Source organism: Homo sapiens, chromosome 11 (assembly GCF_000001405.40).
Source record: "Homo sapiens chromosome 11, GRCh38.p14 Primary Assembly".
In the NCBI taxonomy this organism is placed as follows: domain Eukaryota; kingdom Metazoa; phylum Chordata; class Mammalia; order Primates; family Hominidae; genus Homo; species Homo sapiens.
This window is the reverse complement of record NC_000011.10, coordinates 11,380,313-11,405,517: the sequence shown is the minus strand read 5'-3', so window position 1 is coordinate 11,405,517 and position 25,205 is coordinate 11,380,313. Positions and strand designations below refer to the sequence as shown.

General features: G+C 46.4%; 1 protein-coding gene across 6 annotated transcripts in view, besides 4 other annotated features; it reads left to right on the top strand.

The window, feature by feature from the left end:
• The window catches only part of GALNT18 (polypeptide N-acetylgalactosaminyltransferase 18), a 351,129-nt gene that overhangs the window by 216,488 nt on the left and 109,436 nt on the right, over nt 1-25,205 (top strand). The window lies entirely within an intron of this gene.
• Nucleotides 539-1,738: an enhancer, noted in NCBI's record as "CDK7 strongly-dependent group 2 enhancer chr11:11425327-11426526 (GRCh37/hg19 assembly coordinates)". NCBI's record gives its function as "activates an origin of replication core promoter dependent on BRD2, BRD4, P300/CBP, MED14 and CDK7 cofactors, with strong dependence on CDK7, by STARR-seq in HCT116 cells {active_cell/tissue: HCT116}" and the evidence as "EXISTENCE:reporter gene assay evidence [ECO:0000049][PMID:35650434]".
• Nucleotides 539-1,993: a biological region, named in NCBI's record as "CDK7 strongly-dependent group 2 enhancer GRCh37_chr11:11425327-11426526".
• Nucleotides 822-1,116: an enhancer, noted in NCBI's record as "tiled region #8932; HepG2 Activating non-DNase unmatched - State 21:Repr, and K562 Activating non-DNase unmatched - State 21:Repr". NCBI's record gives its function as "activates a minimal TATA promoter and a strong SV40 promoter by Sharpr-MPRA in HepG2 and K562 cells {active_cell/tissue: HepG2 | K562}" and the evidence as "EXISTENCE:reporter gene assay evidence [ECO:0000049][PMID:27701403]".
• Nucleotides 1,081-1,993: an enhancer, noted in NCBI's record as "H3K27ac-H3K4me1 hESC enhancer chr11:11425072-11425984 (GRCh37/hg19 assembly coordinates)". NCBI's record gives its function as "activates a minimal SCP1, AML or CMV promoter by ChIP-STARR-seq in naive H9 embryonic stem cells {active_cell/tissue: H9 hESC(naive)}" and the evidence as "EXISTENCE:reporter gene assay evidence [ECO:0000049][PMID:30033119]".

Sequence of the window (25,205 nt, the reverse complement as noted above, 5' to 3'; positions counted from 1 at the left end):
ACCTTGAACCCCAGACTCATGTGCACAAGTACCCTCCTCCTCCAAGTCAGTGAAAATCTGCGACACCCTTCCACCTCCATCTCATTCCTTCCAAAGTCTAGCCACTTCAAATTCACTTTGAAAAGGATTATTTTAACTCGTCTCTGTGGAGGAGATAACCATGGTCTTAATTTTGTCTTAAAAACAATATAAGTGTAGTGGGAATAAAACCAAATGATTTTTAACAGTGATGCCGTGGTTTTCTCATGAGTCTCCTTCACAGCCTAGAAATCTAAAACTAAGGGAGGGAAGAGGAGCTGTCTCCTGTATCCACCTTGCCCTGACCACCCACACCCCACATTGCCTCCCATTACCCAGCACAGAGTGGAGAGAAATAAGAGTGGAGGCCATTGACTCAGGTTGCCACGGCCGGGGCTCAAGGCACAGAAGTGTCAGGTAACTGAGTCTGACTTCTCTAAGGTACAAGAAGGTGTCTGGCCACCTGACATACAGTTATGTGGGAGAATAGGAAGGAGAAACACAGAGCACAGCAAAGCAGCTCTGTTGCTTCATCTGTTCCCCCATGACAGGCGGGACCCCTTTCATGCTCTGCTCTAGGAAACATGATTGGCCTGGGTGGCCATGGGCTGGGAGTGGAGTCCGGGTCTGCTGAGGTCTGGGTTAGGTGTGGCTGGGGCATGTTCAAGTTGAGGCCAGGTGGTGGTGAAATCATAGCTGATGGAGTCGCCAGGGTATGGTCAGGGTCTGTGCGGGGCTGGAGCCGGGAGGAAGGTTGAGGTCAAAAGGATGTTAAGGTTGAGATGAAGTCAGAGTTAGGTTGAAATGAGAGTTGAGACAGAGAGAGTCCCATTTGAATGAGAATATGGCTGCGGGCAGTAAAGCTTGAGAGGAATTCCAGAACGCAGGGTGGGGCGGAGGGCTTAGGTTTGGATGGAGCCGTGGTTCAGATACACTCAGACATTTTCCTCCCACGTGACTCTCCTTACTTCTATAACATGGAATGTTTGGCTCACTCCCTGGGCGCCGTTTGATCCTTAACTCCTTCCGGGCCAGGGCTTACATCAGCCTTTGAGTGCTTCAGCTCCTGCTCCTGCTCCTCTTGCCTTGCTAAATTTCATGGGCATTTGCTTTCCCTAGGGAGGGTGAGAGAATAAAAGCAGCCGAAGTTGAATCCAACTAATATACCCGCTTGTCTTACCCCTATTCACAGATGGATGGTGAGGCAGAGGCATTGGCACTGAAGCCCAGGGCTCCCCTGGGGAATTCAGTGATCAATGCCATCCCCATTTCCTGGAGCAGCGATAATTGGCTCCATGCCGTGCACGCATGAACTCCCCTAGACACTCACTCCTTTACGGAAGAGAAAGCCCGTTTCATGGGGAGCCCATGAGACATGGGAATGCTCTCCTCCTGCTGCCAGCAAGTGGCGGGGCATTCGCTCATCATTTGCCTGGTATCTCTGGGCACAGCTCCCTCAGAAGAGCCAGGCTGCCTGGATCCTGCCCACTGCACATGACTCCTCTGGAATAGGGGCCAGGAATTGAGGACAGGGATCCTCCGACCATCTAAGGGGGAGCAGTTACAGCTGCTGGCAGCAGGGCTGGGTTTCCTCTGTACCATCCACAGCAATTAAACTGAAGGACAAGGAGCAACCTCACCCTCTTCTGCAGCATCACGGAGCACTGTGTCCTACAGCCCACAGACCGTCAGCACTCTCTCCTGTACCTGGCCAGGGGGAGAGTTGGCACAGCAGTTAGCAGAGTTCACAGCACAGTTGAGGGTGAGGCAAGGCTACTGTCTACCAAGCAACCTGTCCTCCCCAGGTGGTGGGCACTGGCTTGGATCAAAGCCTCTCTCTCCCATGGCAGAATAACAGGGGAGGAGAGAGTATAGCCCTGGACTAAGACCCCTTGGGGACTTTCAGAAGGAGAAGTTCCAGAGGGAAGAAAATGTGATCTGACCTCTCAGAGACAAAGAATGACACATGAGGATGGTGAAAGGATCTAGAAGTACAGTATTCAGTTTCCAGAAGGGAAGACTTGGGATGCCCAAAGCAGCTCCCCAAATCAGGACTGGCTGGTAGCAGAGTTCCCCTGGGCAAACACTTGGAACCAGTGGGTGGATGTGACTGCAGAGTAGATTTCTTGTATACTTGAGAGAGACTTTTCTCTCACCCACAGCCATTCAACAGGAGAATTAGCTGCTTTATAAGGTAGTGAGTTCCCCATGCCAGGAGATAATCAAGCAGGGCATGGACCCCATATCGGAAATGTGATGTGGAGGATTCACACAGTGCTGAAGGGTTGGATAAACTAACTGTGGAAGGCCCTTCCTGTGGGAGGCTTTGAGAAGGATGCCGCAAGTTCAAGGTCAAGTGTTTGGTTACAGGCATTGCTTAGCTCTCTGCATACCCCTCTGCTGTACAGACCCCTGATTTGTTCCCTGTCTGTGTCCTCTCATCTCCTCCACATCATGCTGGAGCGTCATTCCTTCTGCCCTGGGGAGAGCATGATTCTTCCTAAAGGATCACTTTTCTTTCCCAGTTCTGAGGCTCACTTTCCTCAGGGGAATGCCTGGGGCAGAGAAGAAAGAAGCACCCACTTTCTAGAGCTGTGCTAACTCCAAAGAGAAACAAGCATTACACCATCTCCGGGGCCCGTGGGGACACCTGAGGCTCCTTGTCAGATGCCAACAGCACTACAAGAAGCCATTTGTATTTTTATATCTTCCTATTTCCCTCCTGCAGACGCTGTTCTTACCCGCAGCTGCAAGGCAGGTGCATTAAAATGCCACACTTTAGGTTTGGAAAATGACTGGGATTTATAGTTCCTTAAAGAGTTTTTGGGACACTGGCTCTATCCATGAAAAAGAGGACTTATGCCTTGAGATAATGAAGTTTGAGGACAGAAAGCCATGCCATGTGCAATCCTTCTCTCCAAGAGCTGTGGCTGATGTCCTCAGTGTCACATAACTCCATGCCCTGAGCAGAGGCCTATGGACACCTTGACAAAAGAAGCTCATCATTTTGCTTTTTGTTGCTGAAAAGTTCTGCCCAGCATGGCAGCAGATCAGAGGAAGCCACCCACCATCAAAGCCTGGTTCAATAAGATAAAAGCAGTTTATGATTGAAGACAAGCTGTCATCATGGATTAAAACATGTCTACGCCCACAATGACAACAGTTATTTTTTCTGAGAATATTGGATGAGTTGCTTACATTTCATAAATGAAGAGGAAAGAAATCTAATTCCACCAGGCTGGATCGTTTAAGACAATCTCTGTTCTATAAACACTCTGAAGGGTAGCGTTCCCAAGGTGACAGAAAATAAACCATGATTGCATGATTCTTCTGGTGCCTATTTGCTTTCTAGCCTTTCTGCCTTTATGTGAAGAATTCTGTGCCAGCCATCTGTGATTACCTTGAATTCACCTAATAATATGTAAGCCTACTTCATCTCTTCTTGCTTTGGTACATACTATTCCTCTAACTAGAAGGATTTGTCTCACCTTTGTCCACTTGGCAAACTTTTCTTTATTCCTTAAGGCCCAGCCAAAATGCCAGTGCTTCTGTAAAGCCCTTCCTTACTCTCAACAAGAGTTAGTTGTTGGGAATTTCCTTAGCTATCTGTACACACCTCTATGGTAGCACTCACCATTTAGAACGGAGCTTATGGATCTATTGTTGTATCTGCCTTCCCTTTGGCTAGGAACTCTTTGAGACAAGGGACTGTGTCTCTTTAATGTTTAGAACAGAGCCTGGCACACAGGCAATCTAAGGTTCTAAGTAAAAGTTTGCTGAATGTGCATTGTGTACTGTATACACAGCAACCTGGCCCTTCTCATTTATGACTTTGAATGATAATATTAAATATGCGAAAGTGAAATGTTTGATCAGAGCAACAGAAGGGGCTATTCCCTAGTAGAGGAATCCCAGTATCCTTGTTCCTAGAAGATGAGTGTATGCTCAGGATGTCAAAGGGGTACTTGGAATGGCCCCCTCAGCATCTGCATGCGTTACAGGAGGCAGGGCAGTGGGGCCAAGACCTGAGCCTCTAGGACCGAGTGCTGGGAACAGGCCAGCTCAACCATGCTGCCCAGCACCAAACCTTGCAGTGAGCTCATCAGAGCTGAAGTCACACAATAGCCTAAGTCCTTGTGAAGGATCACATTTACTGGCTACCTCCAGGAGGTTGATCATGAGTTTGTGTGTTGATTTGTTCATTCCCCATTTAGGAAAGGAGATAAATTTTCTGTACTCTGAGCTCTCAGATCTGGAATGTCTGAGGTTGAACATATCATGATTTCCTGATTCTCTTCTGGGTTTGCAAAGGATCCAGAAGCATCCTTTTTCCTGACGGAATGGAGTTTGGGGACCTGCAGTGGGTCAGATGGAGACCCTTTGAGAGACTCTAGCCTGGTGTTTTGTGTCCTCCATGATTGGAATCCAGTCTTCCCCTGATCTCGTCTCACTACTGCCCTCCTGTGTCCCGTATCCAAGCACTGCCTACGTTCCTGCCCCGGCCGACCCTCAGCCATTGAAGATGTGGGCACTTAGCCCCGCTCCTGGCACTAGAACCAATTTTCACAGTTGGGAAAATTTAACACTCTTTGGATCAGTAACTCAGTGGTGCATACTCATGGCACGGTCCCAATAGAAAGAGATTGGCAGCAAATGGAACAAGAGCTAGACACCTACTCCATCACCATCCAGCCAATTAGAGTCGAGACAAGATTAACCTGGGGACAGCACAGATTTTCCTGGTGACATCAAAGCTGGGAGTGAGAAGCATATTTAAGAATGGAAACAAAGTGAAAGGAATCCTAGAGAACTCCTTTGCCCCTTTTGCCATGTGAGGACACAGCAAGAAGACAGTGGTTGATGAGCCAGGAAGAGTGCCCTCACCAGACACTGGATCTGCTGGCATCTTGATCTAGAACTCCCCAGCCTTCAGAACTGTGAGAAATAAATTTCTGTTGTTCTTAAGTCACTCAGTCCATGGTATTCTGTTGTAGCAGCCAGAACAAAGAAAGACACCTTCGTTAGACAGGGCATACATTCTCTGGTTTGCCGCAGTCCTTGATTACTCACATTTTGAGTTTGCAACCTTCCTCAAGGATATGAAGGAACACTTTGTCTAATGATCATTGCGTTAACTATCTATTGCCATGTAACAAATTATACCAGTCTTAACAGGTTAAAGCAACAAAGGCATGTTACTGCACACAATTTTGAGTGTCAGGAATCCAGGAGTGTCTTAGCTGGGTGGGTTTGGATCATGAGGTTGTAGTAAAGATGCTGGTTAGGGCTGCAGTCATCAGAAGGTTTGACTGGGCCTGGATGGTCTGTGTGGATCTTTTCTCATGACATGGCAGTTGGCTTCCTCCATAGTGAGTGATCCAAGAGAGAGTGTCCAAGCTGGAATGGTTTTTATGGTTTAGTCTCAGAAGTGACACATCATCACTTCCACTGCTGCCATATTCTATTTTTTAGGAGCAGGCAACTAAATCCAGCCCACACTCAATTAAATAGAAATAAAGCTTCATTTTTGAAGATAAAAATGTTTTTAAAACCTGTGTATATAACCACCACAATCATTAAATTGGATAATGCATGTAAAATCTTTATTGCTATATATTTAACACATAGTAAGTGCTCGATAAATGTTAATTGCAATACTAAGAGCTAGCACCTATTGAGTATTCAGTACCTGCCAGGCACTCTTCTAAAAGCTTTACCTGCATTAACTCTTTAACAACTCTGTGAGTTGTTCTGTTATTGTTCCTAATTTATAACATAAATCATACACCCAGTGAGGCAGAACAAATTGCCCAAGTGCATATGTTGTAAGTGGGGTTGGGATTTAAACCCTGTTAGTGAAGCCCTCAAAATCTGTCCATTTAACCATTATACTGCACTGACTCTCAAAGTTTTATATCGTTACTGTTTGTAGTCATTCTTGCTGTTGTTGTTGTTTACATGTGTTCCTGACCTGCAGCCCTAGCCTGTTAAAGAAATGTGATGTATTTATTGACTTGTTCTGATAAAAAAAACTATGCTGGGCTGAAGAATCGCCATTTTTTGACACAGGCACTCAAAACCCACCCCTTTTCAATCTTGATCCTTGCTCTTTGAATAAAGGTGAACCTCTTAAAGATGGCTTTCAGGGCCTTACTTTGGGCTACTATAACAAACTTCAATAGACTGGGTGGCTTAACAACAGACATCTGTTTCTCAAAGTACTGGAGGTTCTGTGATCAGGGTGCCAGCATAGTCAGGGTGTGGTGAGGGTCCTCTTCCCTGTTGCAGAAAGCCCCTTCTCATATCTTTACATGATGGAGAGAGAAAGAGAGAGAGAAGAAGCTCTCTCATGACTCTTATAAGGGCACTAATCCCATTCATGACCACATGAATTCTAACTACCTCTCAAAGGTCCCACCTTCTATTACTATCACATTGCAAGAGTAGACTTTCAACAGATGAATTTTGGGGAAGCATGTTTGTCCATATCAGGCCCTTTCTTTAGGGTTGGCTCCACCTTCCTTTCAGCTCCAGCTCCCTCTCACTCCTGTGCACCTGCTATCCTCTGCCCTGGCTGCAGAGGCTTCCTTCAGCTTCTCTTAAGCACCTCCCTCTGTCCATTTTCAGGATACTTGTACATGCTGTTTTCATGTGCCTGGGACATTGTTCTTCCACTCTTAAGAAATCTTGCCTGTGCTTGAGTTAAGTCCCATTGTCTGTAGTATAAATAATCATTTTCCTCTCATTGGGTTAAAATCCCATGCGTCCATCTGGTTTTCCAACCTTTTCTTCTCCATATCAAAACTTCCTATTAGTTCAGTGATAACCCAATGTCCTGTGATGTGGTCACCTGGGCTGGGAAACTGGAGCTTCTTGGGATCAGTCAGGCACTGTGTATGTGTTCATTTTTAGCAGAGTAGTTAATTGCGCAGAGCTGAAGCCCGACTGCCTGAGTTCATATCCTGGTTCTGCCACTTATGAGCTGGTGACTTACCATAAAGCCTCTGAATTTGGTTTTCTCATCTTTAAAAGAGTGGGGATTAAAGGCTCTTTCCTATAAGCTTGTTGGGAGGAGTAAATGAATTAGTGAAAAGTGCTTAGAAAGTGCTTGCTGCCTCACAGCCAATATTTCCTATGGTGACTATTTAGCCCTTTCCTCTATTTCACCAGCTACCCAGTGAGCTCAGGCAGAGCTAGCCAAGGTAGTAATGCCCAGAGCATGGGTTTATCCTAGGACCTCTAAGATTTAGACAGGGAGGTAGTGGACACAGAAGGAACACGCTTTGGAAAAAGACATATACAGATTTGAATCAAGCCTCTGCTACTTATTAAGTGTGCAATCTTGAACACATTGCTTAACATCCCAGTTTTCTCATCTATAAAATGCAAATACCAAAAGCTCCTCTCAGGGTTGTTTTGAAGATTAAATAATGCCTATAATGTGTGGAGCACTTCAGTGAGGGAACATTGCAGTTATTTAATAAATGTTAATTTCCTTCCTCTTCCCTTCAAATTGCACATTAGTCTCCCAGGCATGGATGCAAGCGGCTGAATGGAAGCTGAGGGGCTGCACTTTCTCTCCGGCATCTCATACAGTATGCCATTGGCCCCAGCCAGCGGCCCCTTCTTGCTCATCTTCTTAACTGTTCTAACAGAGCCCAATCAACTGCAATTTTGAATCTCCTTTCTATTTTCTTTCTATGCCCTTTTAAAAATATAAGCCCTTGTGGGCCGGGTGTGGTGCCTCATGCCTGTGATCCCAGCACTTTGGGAGGCTGAAGCAGGTGGATCACTTGAGCCCAGGAGTTCAAGAACAGCCTGGCCAACATGGTGAAACCCTGTCTCTACTAAAAATACAAAAACAATTATCTGGGCATGGTGGCAGGTGGGCGGCTGTAGTCCCAGCTACTTGGGAGGCTGAGGCATGAGAATCACTTGAACCGGGGAGGTGGAAGTTGCAGTGAGCCGAGATGGTGCCATTGCACTCCAGCTTAGGCAACAGAGTGAACCCTGTCTCAAAAAATAAAAGTCCTCAAGAGTTCTCCAGGTCCTAATTATTCTGGGTTTCCTCCCTTTTTCTTCCTGCTTTGGATCATCACTGGTTATACAAGCAGAATTTTGGTTTTGAGAATCTCCTCCCAAAGCCTACAATCCACAGATTTCTTTCCCATACACTCTTTGATATCTGTCTACTAAAACCCAGGCTCTGTGAATACCTGGCCTCCCCTTCTCTCTCAAGCAGGCACTGTGAAAAGACACGGGCATTTCCCTTACAGTTCCCAACATTCCACCTCACCACTCAATTCTTTGTGGGTGATAGGAGTTGATAAGCCCAGAATACCAAAAGGCTTTGAATAGAGCCTGCCTGCAGAGTCCTAGGAGAACCATGGGTGGTCTCTGGAGACCTCCTAAATACCCCGAAAAAGGCAAAAGGGGGTCTGTGTATGTAGATATGTGTGTGTCTGCACACATTTGCCATGGGGGTGCATTTGTTCACAGGAAAAGACTCCTAGGTTTCCTCTGACTCCCAGAGACCCCCAAGATGCACAGGGGAGAGAACTATGGCATCATTCTCTCCAGCCACTGGGAGAGGAAGTTGTTAGCTCAGCAAGTTGTCCAGCACCCTGCTTTGACTGGAATGAAAGCCTTTCCTTTGGCAGCCAAGACCCTCCCTATTTTCCTCCCCACTGATGCTGCAGTGCGGGCCAGAAATACAGCCTCTCTCTCCCTCCATCTGGTCAGAGCATCAACTGCAGATTAGAGATCCAGAGCTCTCACCTCTGTTCTTCTTCCCTTTTGACCTCACCAAACACTTTCACCCTTAGATTAGGTGGCGTTAATCCCTACTGCCCCCAACCACACTATTGCCCCAGACTGGAGTCCCGCGTGCAAATCTTTGCAATTGCCATGAGATCATCCCCACGCTTGGCTTCCATTTTCTTTGTTTGTTACCAAGCTGTCCGTGTTGCTATGTAGACTTCTGAGGAGGGAAGTTTTGTTTTCAGCTCCCATCTGGATAGTTTCCTCGTCTGATTCATCGGTACCTCCCACACGTGAATTCTTTCTCCATCATCCCTGCAGCTCTCCATAGTAACCCATTTCATGCGTTTCTCCTCCCCCCACTGCTGATGACATCATTTAATCTCTAAGCAAACTCTCTCTTCCTCACCTCTCGAAATGTTGCCCTTCTTGATCCATGTCTTGTGGATCCCAGGCCAGAATCGAGAAAGCCAAACACTGTTTGCGAACACCACTGACAGACCCAGCCGCTGTCGTGCCAGTTCTTTGCTCTTTCAAATTCGGTGAGAAAAAAGCAATGAATGTATCACACAGCTATCCGAGTTCCTCGGTTTCCTGCCCAGACTTTAAAGACTTTTCTCTCTAACTCTTTGGGACTGTTCAGCCCCATGGGGATCAGCAACAGAGGGAAGTGGTTGTTGCTGGGTAAGGCTCAGCTGTACCCCAGGAAAATGGCACCTCTCCCACCTGGCTGTGTCCCCCCTCCCTCTCCCCTCCCCATCTCCACCACTTAGCAGTAGCCAGGAACAGCTGTCCTTGTGCCCACTGGTTCTGAGAGTCTCTTTTTAATTAGTTGACATTTGCATCGTGGTCATGGTCAGTGTGCTTTGCCTACAGAAGGTCTAGCTTTCCCCTCCTGTTTCCCCAGCGTTTCAGAGCCTGCTCTCCATCCTTCGTGCCATCTTCCTTCATCCAGAGTGAGGTTCCCTTTCTTCATTTCGGCTCTGCTGCTTGTTTCTGTCCTGCTGGTCTTTCTCCCAATGGGCCTCCTTCCTTCTCTCTTTTCTTTGCATCATTACCTCCGCTCTGCAGGGAGATACCTTGTTGAAAGTGGTTTTTTAGGTTCATTCACCTCCCCTTCAAGTGCAGTGGCCACTTCTATTTGCCACACATCAATTGGCCCTTGCCTCATGCAGGAACACCTAAAGCTCCCTGAGGTCCCTGATGTTGCCTCCTCACCATCCTTATAGGCTCTGGGTCTCAGTTTCCCCATCTCATGGGATCATTGTGAAGACTAAATGAGCAAATGTGGGTGAAGCCCCTAGCACAGGCCCTGCTACATATGCAGATTAAATGAGCTGATGCAGACGAAGCACAGGCCCTGCCACACAGTGGGCACTGAAGCAGGCCAAGGCCACCTGTCCCCTTTCCTTCTTCCTGTTTCCTCTTGGCTCCTCTGCTCCTGGTTGGACACGATCACTTCATTACCAATCACCAGGCTGTCTTCTGTGGCTCTCTTGGGCCAGCAGCATTGTAAACTTGTCATAGAGGCATGGGGACACCAGCCATGCCCAACCTTCCAACTGTGGGACCTCACAAGGCCCAGGTTGACAGGGCCTGAACCTTACTTAAAGATGGGTGCCTGGCACTGTGTCATCCACATTTTTGCTGAATGAGTGAATGAATATTCAGGAAAGATGATAACCCCAGTTCTGAACCTGGAGATCAACTTTGCCTTATACCGCAGAGCTGAGTCTGTGTGCTGAGTTGTCTTCAGACTGGGTCCCTAACAGCATGTCAGACCCTGCTCCCTGGCTGGGCCAGCCCAGCCTCTCACCTGGGTGGTCTATGAGTCGTTTCCATGGTGAGAGCATCAGGCCTGGCTACTCTAACTCAGAATGTTCAGGGGAAGTGAGGAACCCATTACGGTGCCAGGGAAAGCCAGGATGTAGTCAGGAAGGGATCAAGAATCAGGGCAGAGGACCAGACCCCGCCTGTCGGTACCACCTCTAATTATATCTATCCCTGTCCTGGATGCTGTCTCGAGCAATGGGCCAGGGCCCTTGTTAGAGACCTAGTGAGGCCATGATTGAGGCGTGGAGCTTAGTGAGGAGCCCATGACTTGTGTTATTTGGGGGGAAACAACATAAAACAAAAACCTCACCTCCTTAGGTTTCTAGAGTGGGCCAGTTCCTTCTGCTGCTACAGTAGAGTTTTTAATTAAGAAATTGATGAAAAGTTCTTCCTGACATTTCAGTTCATCTCTTGGAGACCTTTAGGTGGGAGGAATCCAAACAAAGCTTCCTTATGACTTCCTAATGTTTTTTGGCTCATCTTCTAAGGCCCTCACAATCTCTCTACCACTCACTTATCCAACCTCCTCTCCCAAATTGAATTTGTATCCCTACACTCAGCCATAGCCCACATCTGTTACTCCTTCTCAAGCATGCCATGCACATTCATGCTTCTAGCCTTTATGCATTCTGTTTTTCTACCTGTGATGGTTTTTTAATGCCCCCTTTATCCTCCTAGGAAAGCCCCTTCATCCATCCATTGAGACAAATGCAAATAACATTCTGTAAAACTTGCCCTGAATCCCCTGCAGAGGTTGTCACATCCTGCGCTGTATTTTCATAGCACCTTGTGACAACCACTTTTAGAACATATTTCAGTGCATTCAAGTTACTGGTTTAATTCTTTCTTCCCACTAAACTGCGAGTTTCTTAAGAGGTGGATACTGACTTACTCCCCGTCTCCACCGCTTGGCATCAGGGCTGCCGCACACCCAGTGCTTAGTAAATATCTGCCAGTTGAACACATGAATGAAAGGAACACAAACAGGACATGAAGTGAGAAGGAGCAATATTTTTGATATTTGGGGGCATGTCTACCAGGGAAGTAATATTTCTTGAGTTTTCTAAAGTAAATCTCATGAGAGGACTATGACGATGTATGTTCCTGAAATAGAGGGATCTGGAAAAAATCAATAATGCTGAAAGGCGCAGTGAGAAGATGGGCTGATAGTCTTTGGCAGTCTTTGGAGGGCAGCTCCTGGGCAAGGTTGTCCATCCCACCTGTCCTGATGTCTCTGAGCTAGCTGTTGATGTTCCTCTACTGGCAGCCCATGCCTGGCATTCTGATAGCATCTCAGGGACACGGGTCTCTGCCTTTGGTGGCTTTAAAGGAAGAGAAAAGCATATGCAAGGAGAGCAAGGAAGCCCACATGGCCTGGGCCGGGGCCTAGAAACAGGCTGATGTTGGCAGTTCATGCTGAAAGCTGACAAGGGCATGCCTTTAGCCTTAGACTCTGTGCTTAAAAGCAAACAAACAAACAAACAAACAGAAAAATACACAAGGTTTCCAGAAGTCATTTGTTTTTCTACATTTGGGATCTAGCAGCAGCCTAACCAGACTCAAGCAGTTAGTAAACTCTCAGCCCACTTAGGAGCCCGGGAACATGGACAGTGGCCCACCTGGGACCAAAGTCTGAATTTAAGAGTCTCCCTCAATACCAATCCCTTCCAGTCCCATCAGTAACCCCAGGGCTGATAAGAAAGGTTTTGTCCTGGGGGGCAGTGCTGGCCCACCCCACACCCAGACCCCATGGGTGCTGTTTCAAGTCTGAGGCTGGGCATCCCCAAACTGAGGGTCAGCCCCACCCACTTCGCTGCTGGACTGCCTGCTCCCATTGTCTGGACATGCCCTGCCCTGCCTTCCCACACTTTCTACTGTTGGTTTCAGTGACCCCCTCCAGGAGACTGAGCATGCAGAGGTTCTAAGAAAGGTCGGCATGGACCTTTAGGAGGAAAGATGGCAAAGTCTGACTGACCTGCCCCATGATCCCTGGGATGGAACCTACTGTTCCTTAGCTATATGACTTTAGGAAAAAATCTTAGCATTGCTGAGCCTCCATTTCCTTATGTTAGAATGGCTATAGTATCCATAATAATTAAAAATAAAATTTAAAAAGATGGCTGTAATGCTGTTGAACTTGCAGAGTCCCAAAAGGATTGAATGGGGATTGTGTGTGAAACAAACTTGGTGAGCCCATGTTCACCATGTGTCAGAACCTGTGCCAAGTGCTAAAAACTTCAGAAAGAAGGTTCCACATAAACAGTGACTTTTTTTCTTTTTTCTTTTTGAGAAGGAGTTTCGCTTTTGTCGCCCAGGCTAGAGTGTGATGGCGCGATCTCTGCTCACCACGACCTCCGCCTCCTGGGTTCAAGCGATTCTCCTGCCTCAGCCTCCTGAGTAGCTGGGATTACAGGCATGCGCTACCACACCCAGCTAGTTTTGTATTTTTAGTAGAGACAGGGTTTCTCCGTGTTGGTTAGGCTGGTCTTGAACTCCCGACCTCGGGTGATCTGCCTGCCTCGGCCTCCCAGAGTGCTGGGATTACAGGCTAAATGGTGACTTTTTAACTCCAAGGTAGTTCTGAGGCTTACCAGTGGGCCCATCAGCTTTTTTCTGCGTATTTTCCAGAGAGGTCCTCAAAACCTTTATATGAGGATTTCTGTCCCATGTGCCATGAATCCATGTAGTCAATAAACCTCTACTGAATGCCAGGCTCCGGCTCTCTGGATACAGAGAAGGGTAAAACCATAGGTCCCTCCTTAAGGAGCTCACAGTCCAGTGGAACATTCAATGCATAATGAGGGATACAGGGCCAAAGGGCAGAGGAAACCAAAGAAAAACAGTACTAAAGTCTTCCTGGAGGAGTATAAATGTTGGTCATTAGAAAGCGTTGAGCCAAGACATGACTCATGCACTCATTCATTCTTGCAATGCATATTTATGAAAACGAAACACACGCCTGTGGCACCTCTGCCACATGCCAGGCTCGGCGTAGCAGATCTGTCAGGGCTGGGGTATGGCTCCGGCCTTACCTCTTAGGTGTGCACAGCGCTTCCAGTTGCCCAGATGCCTGCTTCTCTTTATCTGGGGGCTTTCTTCAAAGCCCTGGAAGGTTGCTGTGCCTTGCACAGGACAGACTGGATGTTTTGGAACTTAACCTGCCCCTGGAGCAGTCCTTAACCAATGACTGCTGGAATCGATATATAAATACCCTGGCCCCCTCTTCCTAGCCTCATTTTGCGCATTTGTAAGACGGGCCTAAGAGTATAAAGATTCCTGCCTCAGGAGATTGCAGTGAATGAGAAAAAAAGATAGCATTAGCCTTCCTTTATTTTTTCATCTGCCTTAAATCAGAAAGTGAGGCTGGCAGGACATTTGTAAAGGGCCTAGTGCAAAGCCTGGGTGGATGCCCATTAAATGCACCCTCTTGCCCTTGGTCCCATAGACAGGAAATGTATTAAGAGCATGGAATTTGGAGCCAAAGTGCTGAACTTAGAATGTGGACTCTACCACTTGCTAATTATTTAACCATGCCTCAGTTTTCTCATCTATAAAATGGGTTACTAGTAGTACTTACCTAATAGAGTGATCATAAGGGCTAAGTGGCAATACAAATAAAGATCTTAGGAGTACCTTGCACATAGAAATCACTGTTAAGGGGTTGTTAAATAAATAGATGCAGGTTGAGATGGGAAGGGGTTGGAAATTGAATCAGAGTGGCTAGGTGGTAAGTGGCCCTTGAAGAGCAGCAACTGTGTCCTGCACCTGGGGATGTCCCAGGGCAGTTTGCTGCAGGGCTGGCTTTCTCAGAAATGCAGGACAGAGGGTGAAAGCTTGCACCCAGCCTAGGGACCTTCCTTTGGAAAGGAGGAAGGGAGCAAAGGAGTTCAGACTGATGAGCAGGTAATGGCACCAGCTGTGAAGCATTCACAACATGCCAGGCATTGTCTTGTGGATTTCCACAGCGACCCAAATAGGTAGAAGAGAGAACTGAGGCTCAGAGAGTTTAAGTCTTGTGCCCAAAGTCAAGGTAAATGGCAGAGCTGGGGATTAAATTGAGGCCTGTCTCTCCCTAAGCCTCTGTTCCTACTGTTCTACTTGACATATTTCAATAAAGAAAGAAAAACGGGAAGGCCAGGAGAACACTTGGGTTCTGCTTTTTCACTGGTCCTTCATGGGACCCCTCCCTTTGAGAATACATTGCTGGAAGGTGTTCTGAAGCAGAGAAAAAGGTCCTTCCACCTCCCCACTGACAAGATCAGGCTAGGTGTAAGTACATGTGTGAAGCCCTCCGGGTCTCCTGAGTCATGAATCAGCCAGGCTGAGGCCCCTGGTCACACAGCCTGAGCAGCAGTGATTTGCAGGAGTGTGGAGCTGACATACAGCCTGTGGGAGCCTTAACTCTTCCCCCAGAGGATGCTCGGAGCTGCCCTGGAAGGAGATGGAGCTCAGGGCCTGAGGTTGGCCCTCACTGGTTGCCTGGTGTATGTTTTCTAGTCCCCTGTGTCTTTGCCCCAAGGAAAAACCCATCCCCTTCTAGAGCTGCAGGTGAGGAAAAGCTTCCTACAGAAGCTGAGCTGGGACAGGGGAGGCGAGAAGAATGTTCCAGGTGGAGGTAGCAGGTAGTGCAAGGGCACTCTAGCATGACCGAGCTTAGTGCATTTGGGAAAATGACGAGCACACAGTCTTGCAGAGAAGGCTGGACCAGGATGTTTGACCTTGTAAGCCATGAACAACTGGTGGTGGGGACTGGGGGTAGGATGGTGGTGAGCACAGCCTAGAGTGATTACTCTGGCATTTACAGGAGCTTAGACTCATGGGATCTCAGAATCCTGGGAGTTAGTATTTAAGAATCAGAGACTCTAAAAATTTCAGAATTTTGAAATTTTGGATTCAGAATCATAAACTCTTGGGCTCTCAGTCATGAGATTTTAGGATCATCAAATTTTTGAGTTCGGCAGCACTCTAAACTCTAAGCCTTGCAAAAAAGGAGAAGCCAGCACCAAAATTCAAGTTGGCCTCTGGCTTAACTGCTAAGGGCACTGGACCTTCCTGAGTGCTCACACATAGGGCAGGAGGACCTGGACCTGGGCCTCCTGGAATTCCCTTTGCACAGTGGGACGTCCACACAGCTTGTTCTCAGCTCTGATATCACCTGCTATTAAACACTATCTGCCAGCAATTCCCAAGGCTTTGAGTTCTTGGTACGCCCTCCCTAGAAGCTCATGGGAGGACTCTTCTCAGTACTCCTAAGCTGGAGGAGCTGGGGCTGGAGCAGCGTCCACTCCTGCCTGGACACAGCTGACATCAGTCACCTATCATGGCATTTTTAGTAAGTCCTGTGATTCCTGCTGCATACCCTCCTCAGAGTAGCAGGAGTAGTTCTTGCTCTGTAAGTAATTTCACAGTGTTTGGTCCATTGCCCCACCTTTACTTTACAGGATTTTCCTCCTCACACAGCCCCAGGAAGTACAAAGGCGAGGTGGCCCTTTGCCAAGGTCATTTAGTCAGCAAAGACACTGACTTCTATTAGTTCATTATTCTCATTCCCATTTGCTAAATTACTCAAGGTGGACAAATAGAGGACACGGAGTTATGGTCCCAGGGGAAGAGCTTCTGTTGAGCCTACAAAGCTGACTCCTTCGGAAGGCTGCTGGACAGACTGGAAAAGAGCCAAGTCTTCAGAGGCAAGCAGGCCTGAGTTCGAATCCTGCTCCTTCCTTACCTTCTGTGTTACTTGGAATATGTTCTTTAAAGTCTCTCATCCTTGATTTTTCCCATTTGCCGTTTGAAGATAATAATGAGGTTATTATCTTCAGGTTGCCTGGGTTTGCTTTTCAGCTCTGCCATCTTCTAGCTCTGTGATACTGGGCAAATCCTTTAGCCTCTCTGGGCTGTGTTTCCTCATCTATGGAACAGAAATAGTCATGCTACCTACCTACCTTGAGTAGCATTATGGTTGCTGAGAGTTCTGAATGAGTAATAAATGAAGCAGGATTAGAACAGTCCCCAGCACCTGATAAATAAATAAGCATTAGCTATAAATATTGTTTGCAGGGTGGTAACGAGGTGAGGCTCTTAAGTGGTGCACATCATATGTGCATAATATATCATTGTTGAGTGAATGAATAAAGGATGGATTGATCTGAAGTGCTGAGCACAGTGCACATTATGTGGTGTAGGGGAAGGGTCACAGAGCGTTAGACCAGCCCTGGGCGTTAGACCAGCGCTGGGGCTGACCTGGACTAGCCGAGCTCATCGTGCACATCCTCACCCAACTCTGCACATCTCTTCCCAACTCAGACTCAGTGGCGTCAGGCTGGTAGCCTGAAATCAGCAATGGTGGAAGCATCTATACCACAGGCAGTGGCAAACATTAGAACTCAAGGTTTTTTGTTTGTTTTATTTTGTCTTAATTTGAGAGAGAGAGGAAGAAAGGGAGACTGTGTTAAACTTTGGTTAGAACACAACACATTCCTAACTGGTCAGGTAAACATTTTTCTATAACCTGCCACGGTCATCTTCAGAAACCAGTTCTGACCATTTTTTACAAGATATAACATCTTAGGGAGAATAAGCCATTTTGGCACTGATAAGAAGGTGTTTGTGGGTTTTGAGAGCCTGGCTTTGGCGACCCCGCTAAGTATGGGGTGCATATTCCTTGTGGGTTTTGGTGGCCACGAATGCCCTACTGTGACACCAAAGAGTAGACTTTAAAACAGATGGGTGGGGCCTATTAGGTGGTAAATCTGGGACTTTCTGTAACTTGATAAGGCTGAATTAATGTTTGCAGCTTCCCAGGAAGATTGTAACACTGTGTGCCTGAACCCTGTAGCCTGAGTAAGGGAACTATTTAAGGCCATTCCAAATCTCCTTTAGTATCAATCGACTTTGAAGAAGTGCAGCTATTACATGAGCTGGACAGAAGTGCAGCTGTTAAGTGTAGCAGACATAAGAATGAACCTCGGGGAAGGCATTTGTAAACTGCCCAGGGTTTGAAAGCTTGTCTGGAGTGATCTTCAAGACAGAGGAATACACGCAGCAATGCTGCCCGGAGCTCTCCGGGATCCCAGCTGCCCAAGCCAGGCTCACCATCATTCATCAGCAGGACCATCTGAGTCCTGAGCCCCCACTCCAGATTCTCCATGGAGGTGCGGACGGTGACATCTGTCTTTATTTAATTTTTAGCTTCCCATGTGATGTGATGTGGATGATCAGCTAGGTTTGACAACCATTGCATCCTCATAAATAATCTCTCCTTTAAAATGTGTTGACATAGCATTTGTGTTTCAATGGCCCTAAATGGCTTCAGAGAAAAGCCAGTTAATCTTCTGATCTGAAGAAGACAAGCCACTTTTCACTTGGAAAGGAATAAACACACTTTTAATCTTTAAATTAGCACCATTGGAGACAAGCAATTAATTGCACTTGTCAGTGGGAGGTGGATTAGTGGGGGTGTGGGTGGGGTGTTCCCACTCCCCTCCTGGGCAACTGGAGGGATGGGGTGGCAAAGGTATAATCCAGGCCGGGCTTTGAGGAGCAGCATTGAGCCAGGAAGGAGGGGTGTGGCCACAATGGGACAAAAAGCCGTGGCCTCTGCAGAAGGCAGCTGGGAAATGACAGGGGACAGTCCAAAACATCAGACCCAAAGATGGCCAAGTAGAGAAACGAAAAGCAGCTGGAAAGGGAAGGACCGGCAACTGAGGGCAGCAAGATGGGGCCAGTGGGTTTGGAAGAATGAAGAGAAAAATTACCTGGGCAGGTGTGAGGCAGCCGTTTTCAGACTGCATTTACATCCTTGTGTTATGGGCTGGAACCACACGTATTTGGCAGGAGGTGCCTTTTTGTACTCCGTTATAAAGCCCACCTTTGTATTTCAGTTGTAACCAAGTTTGGCCCATCCGTCAGAATCTCACCTGGAGAGTCTTGTTTGAAATTCAGATTCTCTGGTCCCACCCCAGATCTATTGAATCAGACTCTTTGCTGGGATGGTACTCTGGAGCCTGCGATTTCAACAAGCTGATTCTTATGCAGGCCAGCTTCTTATTCTTGGGAGGCAGGATAGAGTGTAGAGGTGGACAGTATGGACTCTGGGGACAGCCTAGTTGGACTTAAATCCTATCTTCACCACTTGCTACCTGGATCACTTTGTGCCTTAATTTCCTTGTCTTCAAAATAGAACGATAATAATAGGAGCTATATCTTAGGGTTGTTGAAATGATTAAATGAGATAACATATACCAAATACTTAGAATAACGGATAGTATACTATATTTACCATTTTTTCTTTTATCCAATTAATGCAGAGATTGAGAGAAGAGAGAAATAGGGTCAATATTTTGAATTTAAGCCATCAAACACACATCCATACACATTATGCGTATAGGTCAAGAGTTGAAAATTTAAATGCTTTCAAGAACCAGGCAAGTGTGAAGCAATTGGTGGGGCCCTTGGTGACTTGGAATGTACAACTGTCTTAGTTTAGCTTTCCCAGAAGCCAGGGAGATCCTGAGACAAGATTTGGGGCCAAGTAATTTAACTGGTAGATGATCCTAGAAAACTGATGAGGGAGTGGGGATGGGAGACAGAAGAGAAGAAAGCTAATACCATGGGCATCAATGAACATGGTACTGCTGTGGGGACCTGGACTCTATCATCCTGGGAACCACCAGGAGACTTGGAGACTCTGCAATGTCATCCCACCTGATAAGTGAGGAAGCTGGGTTATACTCATTTCCTATGTCTGTTGTAATGAAAGTGCCACCATCTGGGTGGCTTAACCAACAGACATTGTTTCATACTTCCGGAGGCTAGAAGTCTGAAATCAAGGTGCCAGCAGGACTATGAGGGGGAATCTGTTGCATGCCCCTCTCCTAGCTTCTGGTGCTTTGCTGGCCATCTTTGACAGGCCTTGGCTTAGAGATACATCACTCCAGTCTCTGCCTTCCTCTTCACATGACTTCCTACCTCAGTCTGCATCCAGATCTACTCTTTTTTTAAGAATACCAGTCATACTGGATTAGGATCCTATCCCACTCCAGTATGATCTCATCTTAACTAATTATATCTGCAATGACCCTATTTCCAAATAAGGTCTCATTCGGAGGTATTAGGGTTTCAGATTTCAGCATATGAATTTAAGGGGATAAAATTCAGTTCACCCATGGGGTATTCATGCCCCAATTCCTCCCCCTAATTGACAACTACTTCTGTAGATGGTAACTCCACAGCATTTCCTGCTTACTCTCCCTCTCTGCTGTAATTTGGATATTTGTCCCCACCAAATCTCATGTTAAAATTTGATCCCCAATAGGCCGGGCATGGTGGCTCACACCTGTAATCCCAGCACTTTGGGAGGCCGAGGCGGGCAGATCACAAGGTCAGGAGATCGAGACCATCCTGGCTAACATGGTGAAACCCCATCTCTACTAAAAATACAAAAAATTAGCCGGATGTGGTGGCGAGCGCCTGTAGTCCCAGCTGCTGGGGAGGCTGAGGCAGGAGAATGGCATGAACCCGGGAGGCGGAGCTTGCAGTGAGCCGAGATTGCACCACTGCACTCCATCCTGGGCAACAGAGCGAGACTCTGTCTCAAAAAAAAAAAAAAATTTGATCCCCAATAGTGGAGGTGGGGCCTAATGGGAGGCGTTTGAGTCATGGGAGTGGATCCCTCATTAATAGATTAATGCCCTCCCTGGGGTGGTGGGGAGAATGAGTGAGTTTTCCCTCTACTAGTTCCCATGACAGCTGATATAAAGAGCCTGGTGCCTCCCCACTCTCTCTTGCCTCCCTGCTCACCATGTGATCTCTGTACATCCTGGCTCCCCTTCCCCTTCCACCATGAGTGGAAGCAGCCTGAGGCCCTCACCTGAAGCGACTGCTGACACTGCACTTCTTATAAAGCCTGCAGAACCATGAGCCAAATAAACCTCTTTTCTTTGTAAATTACCCAGCCTCAGGTATTTGTTTACAGCTACACAAATGGACCAATATGCTCTTCCTGTGTCTCTTCTACCACACGCCTTTTAAACATCCAGTAGCATGGATATTCCATAAGGGTTGTGTCTTAGTTTGAGCTGCTATAACAAAGTCCCATGGACTGAGTGGCTTATAAACAACAGATGTTTATTTCTCTCAGTTCCAGAGGCTGGGGGTCTGAGATCAGGGCGCCAGCATGGTTGGGTCCTGGTGAGGGCCCTCTTCCAGGTCACAGACTGCTCACATCTCATCCTCACATGGCAGAAAGAGGAAAAGAGCACTCTCTGGAGCCCCTTTTATAAGTGCACTAATCCCATTTATGAGGGCTGCTGTGGTTTGAGTATTTCCCCTGCAAAATTTAGGTATTACCAGTGTGAAAACATTAAGAAGTGTGGCCTTTTCAGAGGTGAGTAAGTCATGAGGGCTGCTTCCTTGTTCATGAGATTAAGGCTCTTTAAAAAGAGGATTCTTGAAGCTTTAGGCTACCTTGCCCTTCTCCCTGCTGCCACTTGAGGACATAGCAAGAAGGCCCTCACCAGACACCAAATGCTAGCGTCTTGTTCTTGGGCTTCCCAGGCTCCAGAACTGTGAAGAAATAAATTTCTGTTCTTTACAAAGTACTCAGTGTCAGGTATTCTTAGTTGCAGCAGTAAAAAACAGGCTAATATAATAGCTCCACCCTCATGACCTAATTAATCTCCCAGAGGCCCTACCTCCTAATACCATCACACTGGGGGTTAGGATTTCAACATAATCAATTTGGGGAATAAATAAACACTCAGTCCATTGCAGACTGTCTTGTTTACAGTTATAATCACAGCAACTAGATTAGTACCTTGTTGAGGTATGATCAAGTCATGCCAAAGATTATTACTCCATGAATGGACTAATAGTAAGTGTATTAGTCTATTCTCGCACTGCTATAAAGAACTACCTGAGACTGGGCAATTTATAAAGAAAAGAGGTTTAATTGACTCACAGTTCCACATGGCTGCGGAGGCCTCAGGAAACTTACAATTATGGCAGAAGGTGAAGGAGAAACAGTCACCTTCTTCACAAGGTGGCAGGAGAGAGAGGGAGAGAGAGACAGAGAGAGAGAGAGAGAGAGAGAGGAAGTGCCACACTTAAACCATCAGATCTCATGAGAACTCACTCACTATCATGAGAACAGCGTGTGGGAAACTGCCCCCATGATGCAATCACCTTAACACATGGGGATTACAATTCAAGATGAGATTTGGGTGGGGACACAGAGTCAAATCATATCAGTAAGTGTTCAATATTTGTTGAATGAATGAATGAATGAATGGGTGAACTCTCACTTCATTTCTATGTCCCCAAAACCTAGAGAAGATGTGGGAAATGCTCATCTGAACCTTGAGGGAGAGGTGAGGACTCTGCCCGGTTCTCCACAGCAAGCCTATAGGAAGGCAGTTTTACAAAATGCCTGTGCACCTGCCTTCCAAAGAGCAAAGCCCCATTAGGCATCAACTTTCAGATCCTTTAGTTTCCTTTATGCATGAGATTGGAGTGTCCCATTAAGTACTTAAATCAGATTAACAGCCTCCATGCCAGACCCTTCCGGCTCAGCCTGCTAGTGGTTGTGGAGCCAACAACTTCTTATAGAAGCAGTGGAAGGGGGTAGATGAGGAAGGGAGAAGGGCTCTGTTTGACCAGGCTGGTGAATCCCCTGTGTTTCCTTGGCGTCTAAGTCTGAAGAAATGAGAGCTGGCAAGCAGCCTGCCCTGAGCAGGCCCGGAGAGGAGGCTCCCCGTGGGGATGTGGAGAGTGGCCTGTGACCTCCCAGGAGTGAGTGGTGTTTCATCACTGCTTCTGGTAGTGCTGGTTTACAGAGGTCCCTCCAATGTCAGGAGATCAGGGATTTGTGGACAGTAGGAGAGAGCTGAAGTAGCAACATAAGCAGGATGACACCTGGCCCCATGCAGGGTGCAAATTGTATTTCTCTGTCAACATGGGCTATCGACAGCTGCACATTGACTCTAGATCTGGCAGAGTCACAGCAAGCAGACTCCCTGCCTCCTCTTTCTCCAACGCATTAAAACAAGCACAAAATATACCTTCCCTTTTCCTTCCACAATTATACTACTGTCCTAACCCACCAAGACACTTTATTAAATGTTATTTATAGAAATTTCAAAAAATTAATTAAAGATAGCTTGCATAGGGAATAAAAGGTAAAAGTCAATCAGCTTTTAAATTTGAACCAGAAAATCAAAGGTTTAGCAAAGATAGGGCAGCAAAAATCCTGATAAAATCTTTGTGATTAGTCATTATATTTGTCTTTGAGCTTCCTGGCAGCCTTAGCAAGAAGGCAAATATGATGGGCTGGGTACTTGTGTTTGGCTGTAAGAAAAAACACAAGTTCAACTCCAAAAACACAATCTTTGGAGCTAAGAAGTTCTGAGAGATATTATATGTGAACAGGTATGTGTGTGTGTTTATGTGTATATAAAATAGTTAATAGTCAATATATATAATATACAATGGACAGTGTTTTGGAAAGCAATTTTCCAGCCAACGCAGAAGTATTTTTGGGATAGTTCTTTCTTGCTTTGGCACTTAACAAAGATTGAAAGAAAACATGAAAACCTAATTAAGTAAAGGTACTTTGCAAAGACAGAGCCAGTATCATCTAGGGTACTTCAAGGCATTTTGTTTCTTCTTTATTTTCTTTTTTGGATAGCAGTTGTTTGGTTGGGGCTAAGAGAATTCCCTCTTCTAATCAGCAGCACATGTTTGGGATGCAACTAACTGGGGATGGAATTTTTCTACTATCTGGTCCACCAGAAGCCTTTACTCTAGCTCAGTGTTAACAGAGCTCGCAGGTACAAAGAGGCAAGTAGCTCCTATAGGAAGCAAAGCTTTCCATCTCTTGCTGCCACCCCTCAAAGCTCATTCTTCCTCTGATTGCATTTCCTGTGCATCAGGAGTTCACAATCTTATTTTAACCCCAGCACCGGACCAGAACAATAGAAAATGTTTATTACAGCCATTGTGTATAACAAACCATTCCAGAAGTTATGGTGTGAATCAGCAACCATCCATTGGCCCAGAATCCTGCAATAAAGGCTGGGATCACTGGGCAGCCTGTCTCTGCTCTACACAATGGCTCTCCCTGTCATTTGCAATCAGCTGGTGGCCCGACTGGGGCTGAAGGATCCACGAGGGCCTCACTCACCTGTCTGGGGCCTTTGTGGGGTGGCCTAATGACTGGGCTGGGGAAGAGGCTGCCTAGACCTTCCTTAGTTAGGGCAGCAAGACAGCAAATGCAAAAGGCCTGGAACTTGCGCAGGGTCCCTCTTGCTGTGTCCTGCTGTGTCACGGTCCAGCCCAGACTCAGTGTGTGAGGCAGCCACACAAAGATGTGAATTCAGAGAGGTGAAATTCATAGGAGACCATTTGGTAGCAATCATCCTCAGCCTCCTCCCATCAATACCTTAGTCATGGTAGGTATTGGCAGGAGTCAACTGGCAGGAGTCTCACCTGAGGGTTGAGGAGGGAGAGAAGGGGACAGGTATCCCTTTCATGGGGAAGAGAGGGGATTTGTATCAGGCCATTTGGTACTAGCCCAGTTCTCACTTCAAGTTCTGTGCACTCAACACTTAACTGCCACCATCAAAAACCCAGATATCAGACTTTATGAGCTCTATTTAAATTTTTCAAAAAGGATATATGAGAAATGGACCTTGGAAGTGATAAAACAGTAAATGTTTTAAGAAGCCTCCTGGCAACGGTGCTTGAAGACCTTGTAAGTGTGAGACATATTGAGTTATGCTGCTCCATGGCCAATGTCCTGACATTTGTGGGACAGTGACCTCCCCAGGCAGCTGCAGCAATTGGAGATCTTGAGGTCATTTCCGTATGGACTGCAGTGAGATATACAGCATGTCAGTGGCAGCCCAGAAGTCAGTCGAGTTTTCTCCAGGCTGGAATGAGGACACTGACAGCCCCCACCAGCCCTAGCTTAGGACAGGGGTCACACTGTTTAAAAGGATCACTTGAATGACAAGAAAGGCCATATGCTCATCACTTTTGCAGAAGCTGGAAACCTAGAAGGGCTGGATAAGAAAGACATTGGGTAATGAAATCAGGGGACAAAAACACTTTGACCTCCAAAGAAATAGTGGAAATCTTTAGAAAGGCTGATTAAATAAAAGTAAACATAAGATTCTTTGTTTTGACTCAGAGCAGGCACCCATGTGTGCACACACACACAAGCACCTGCACATGCACCCGCATCCACAGAGATGGGATGGAGGAGGCCTGACTTAGTAGCACCATGTAAAAATAATTTGTAAGTATATGTTAGCAGTAAGCTTAATTTGAGACAAAAGCAATCAAAGTTGTTGTGACTTTAGATTATATTAATAGGAGCATAGATTCTAGATTAAGGGAGGTGATTTATTTCTTCTATTCTGTATAGCCCAGTTTACTTTAGAAGTATTAGGTCAACTTCTGCATAATATGAAAGGGTTCAAGAAAAACTAACTTAATTAGAGGGAAGTTCAACATGATTAGAGAATTTGAAATCATGAAATATGCGGAAACACAAGGAAGAACTGAAGATATTTGACCTAGAGAAGTCCTTAGCAAGG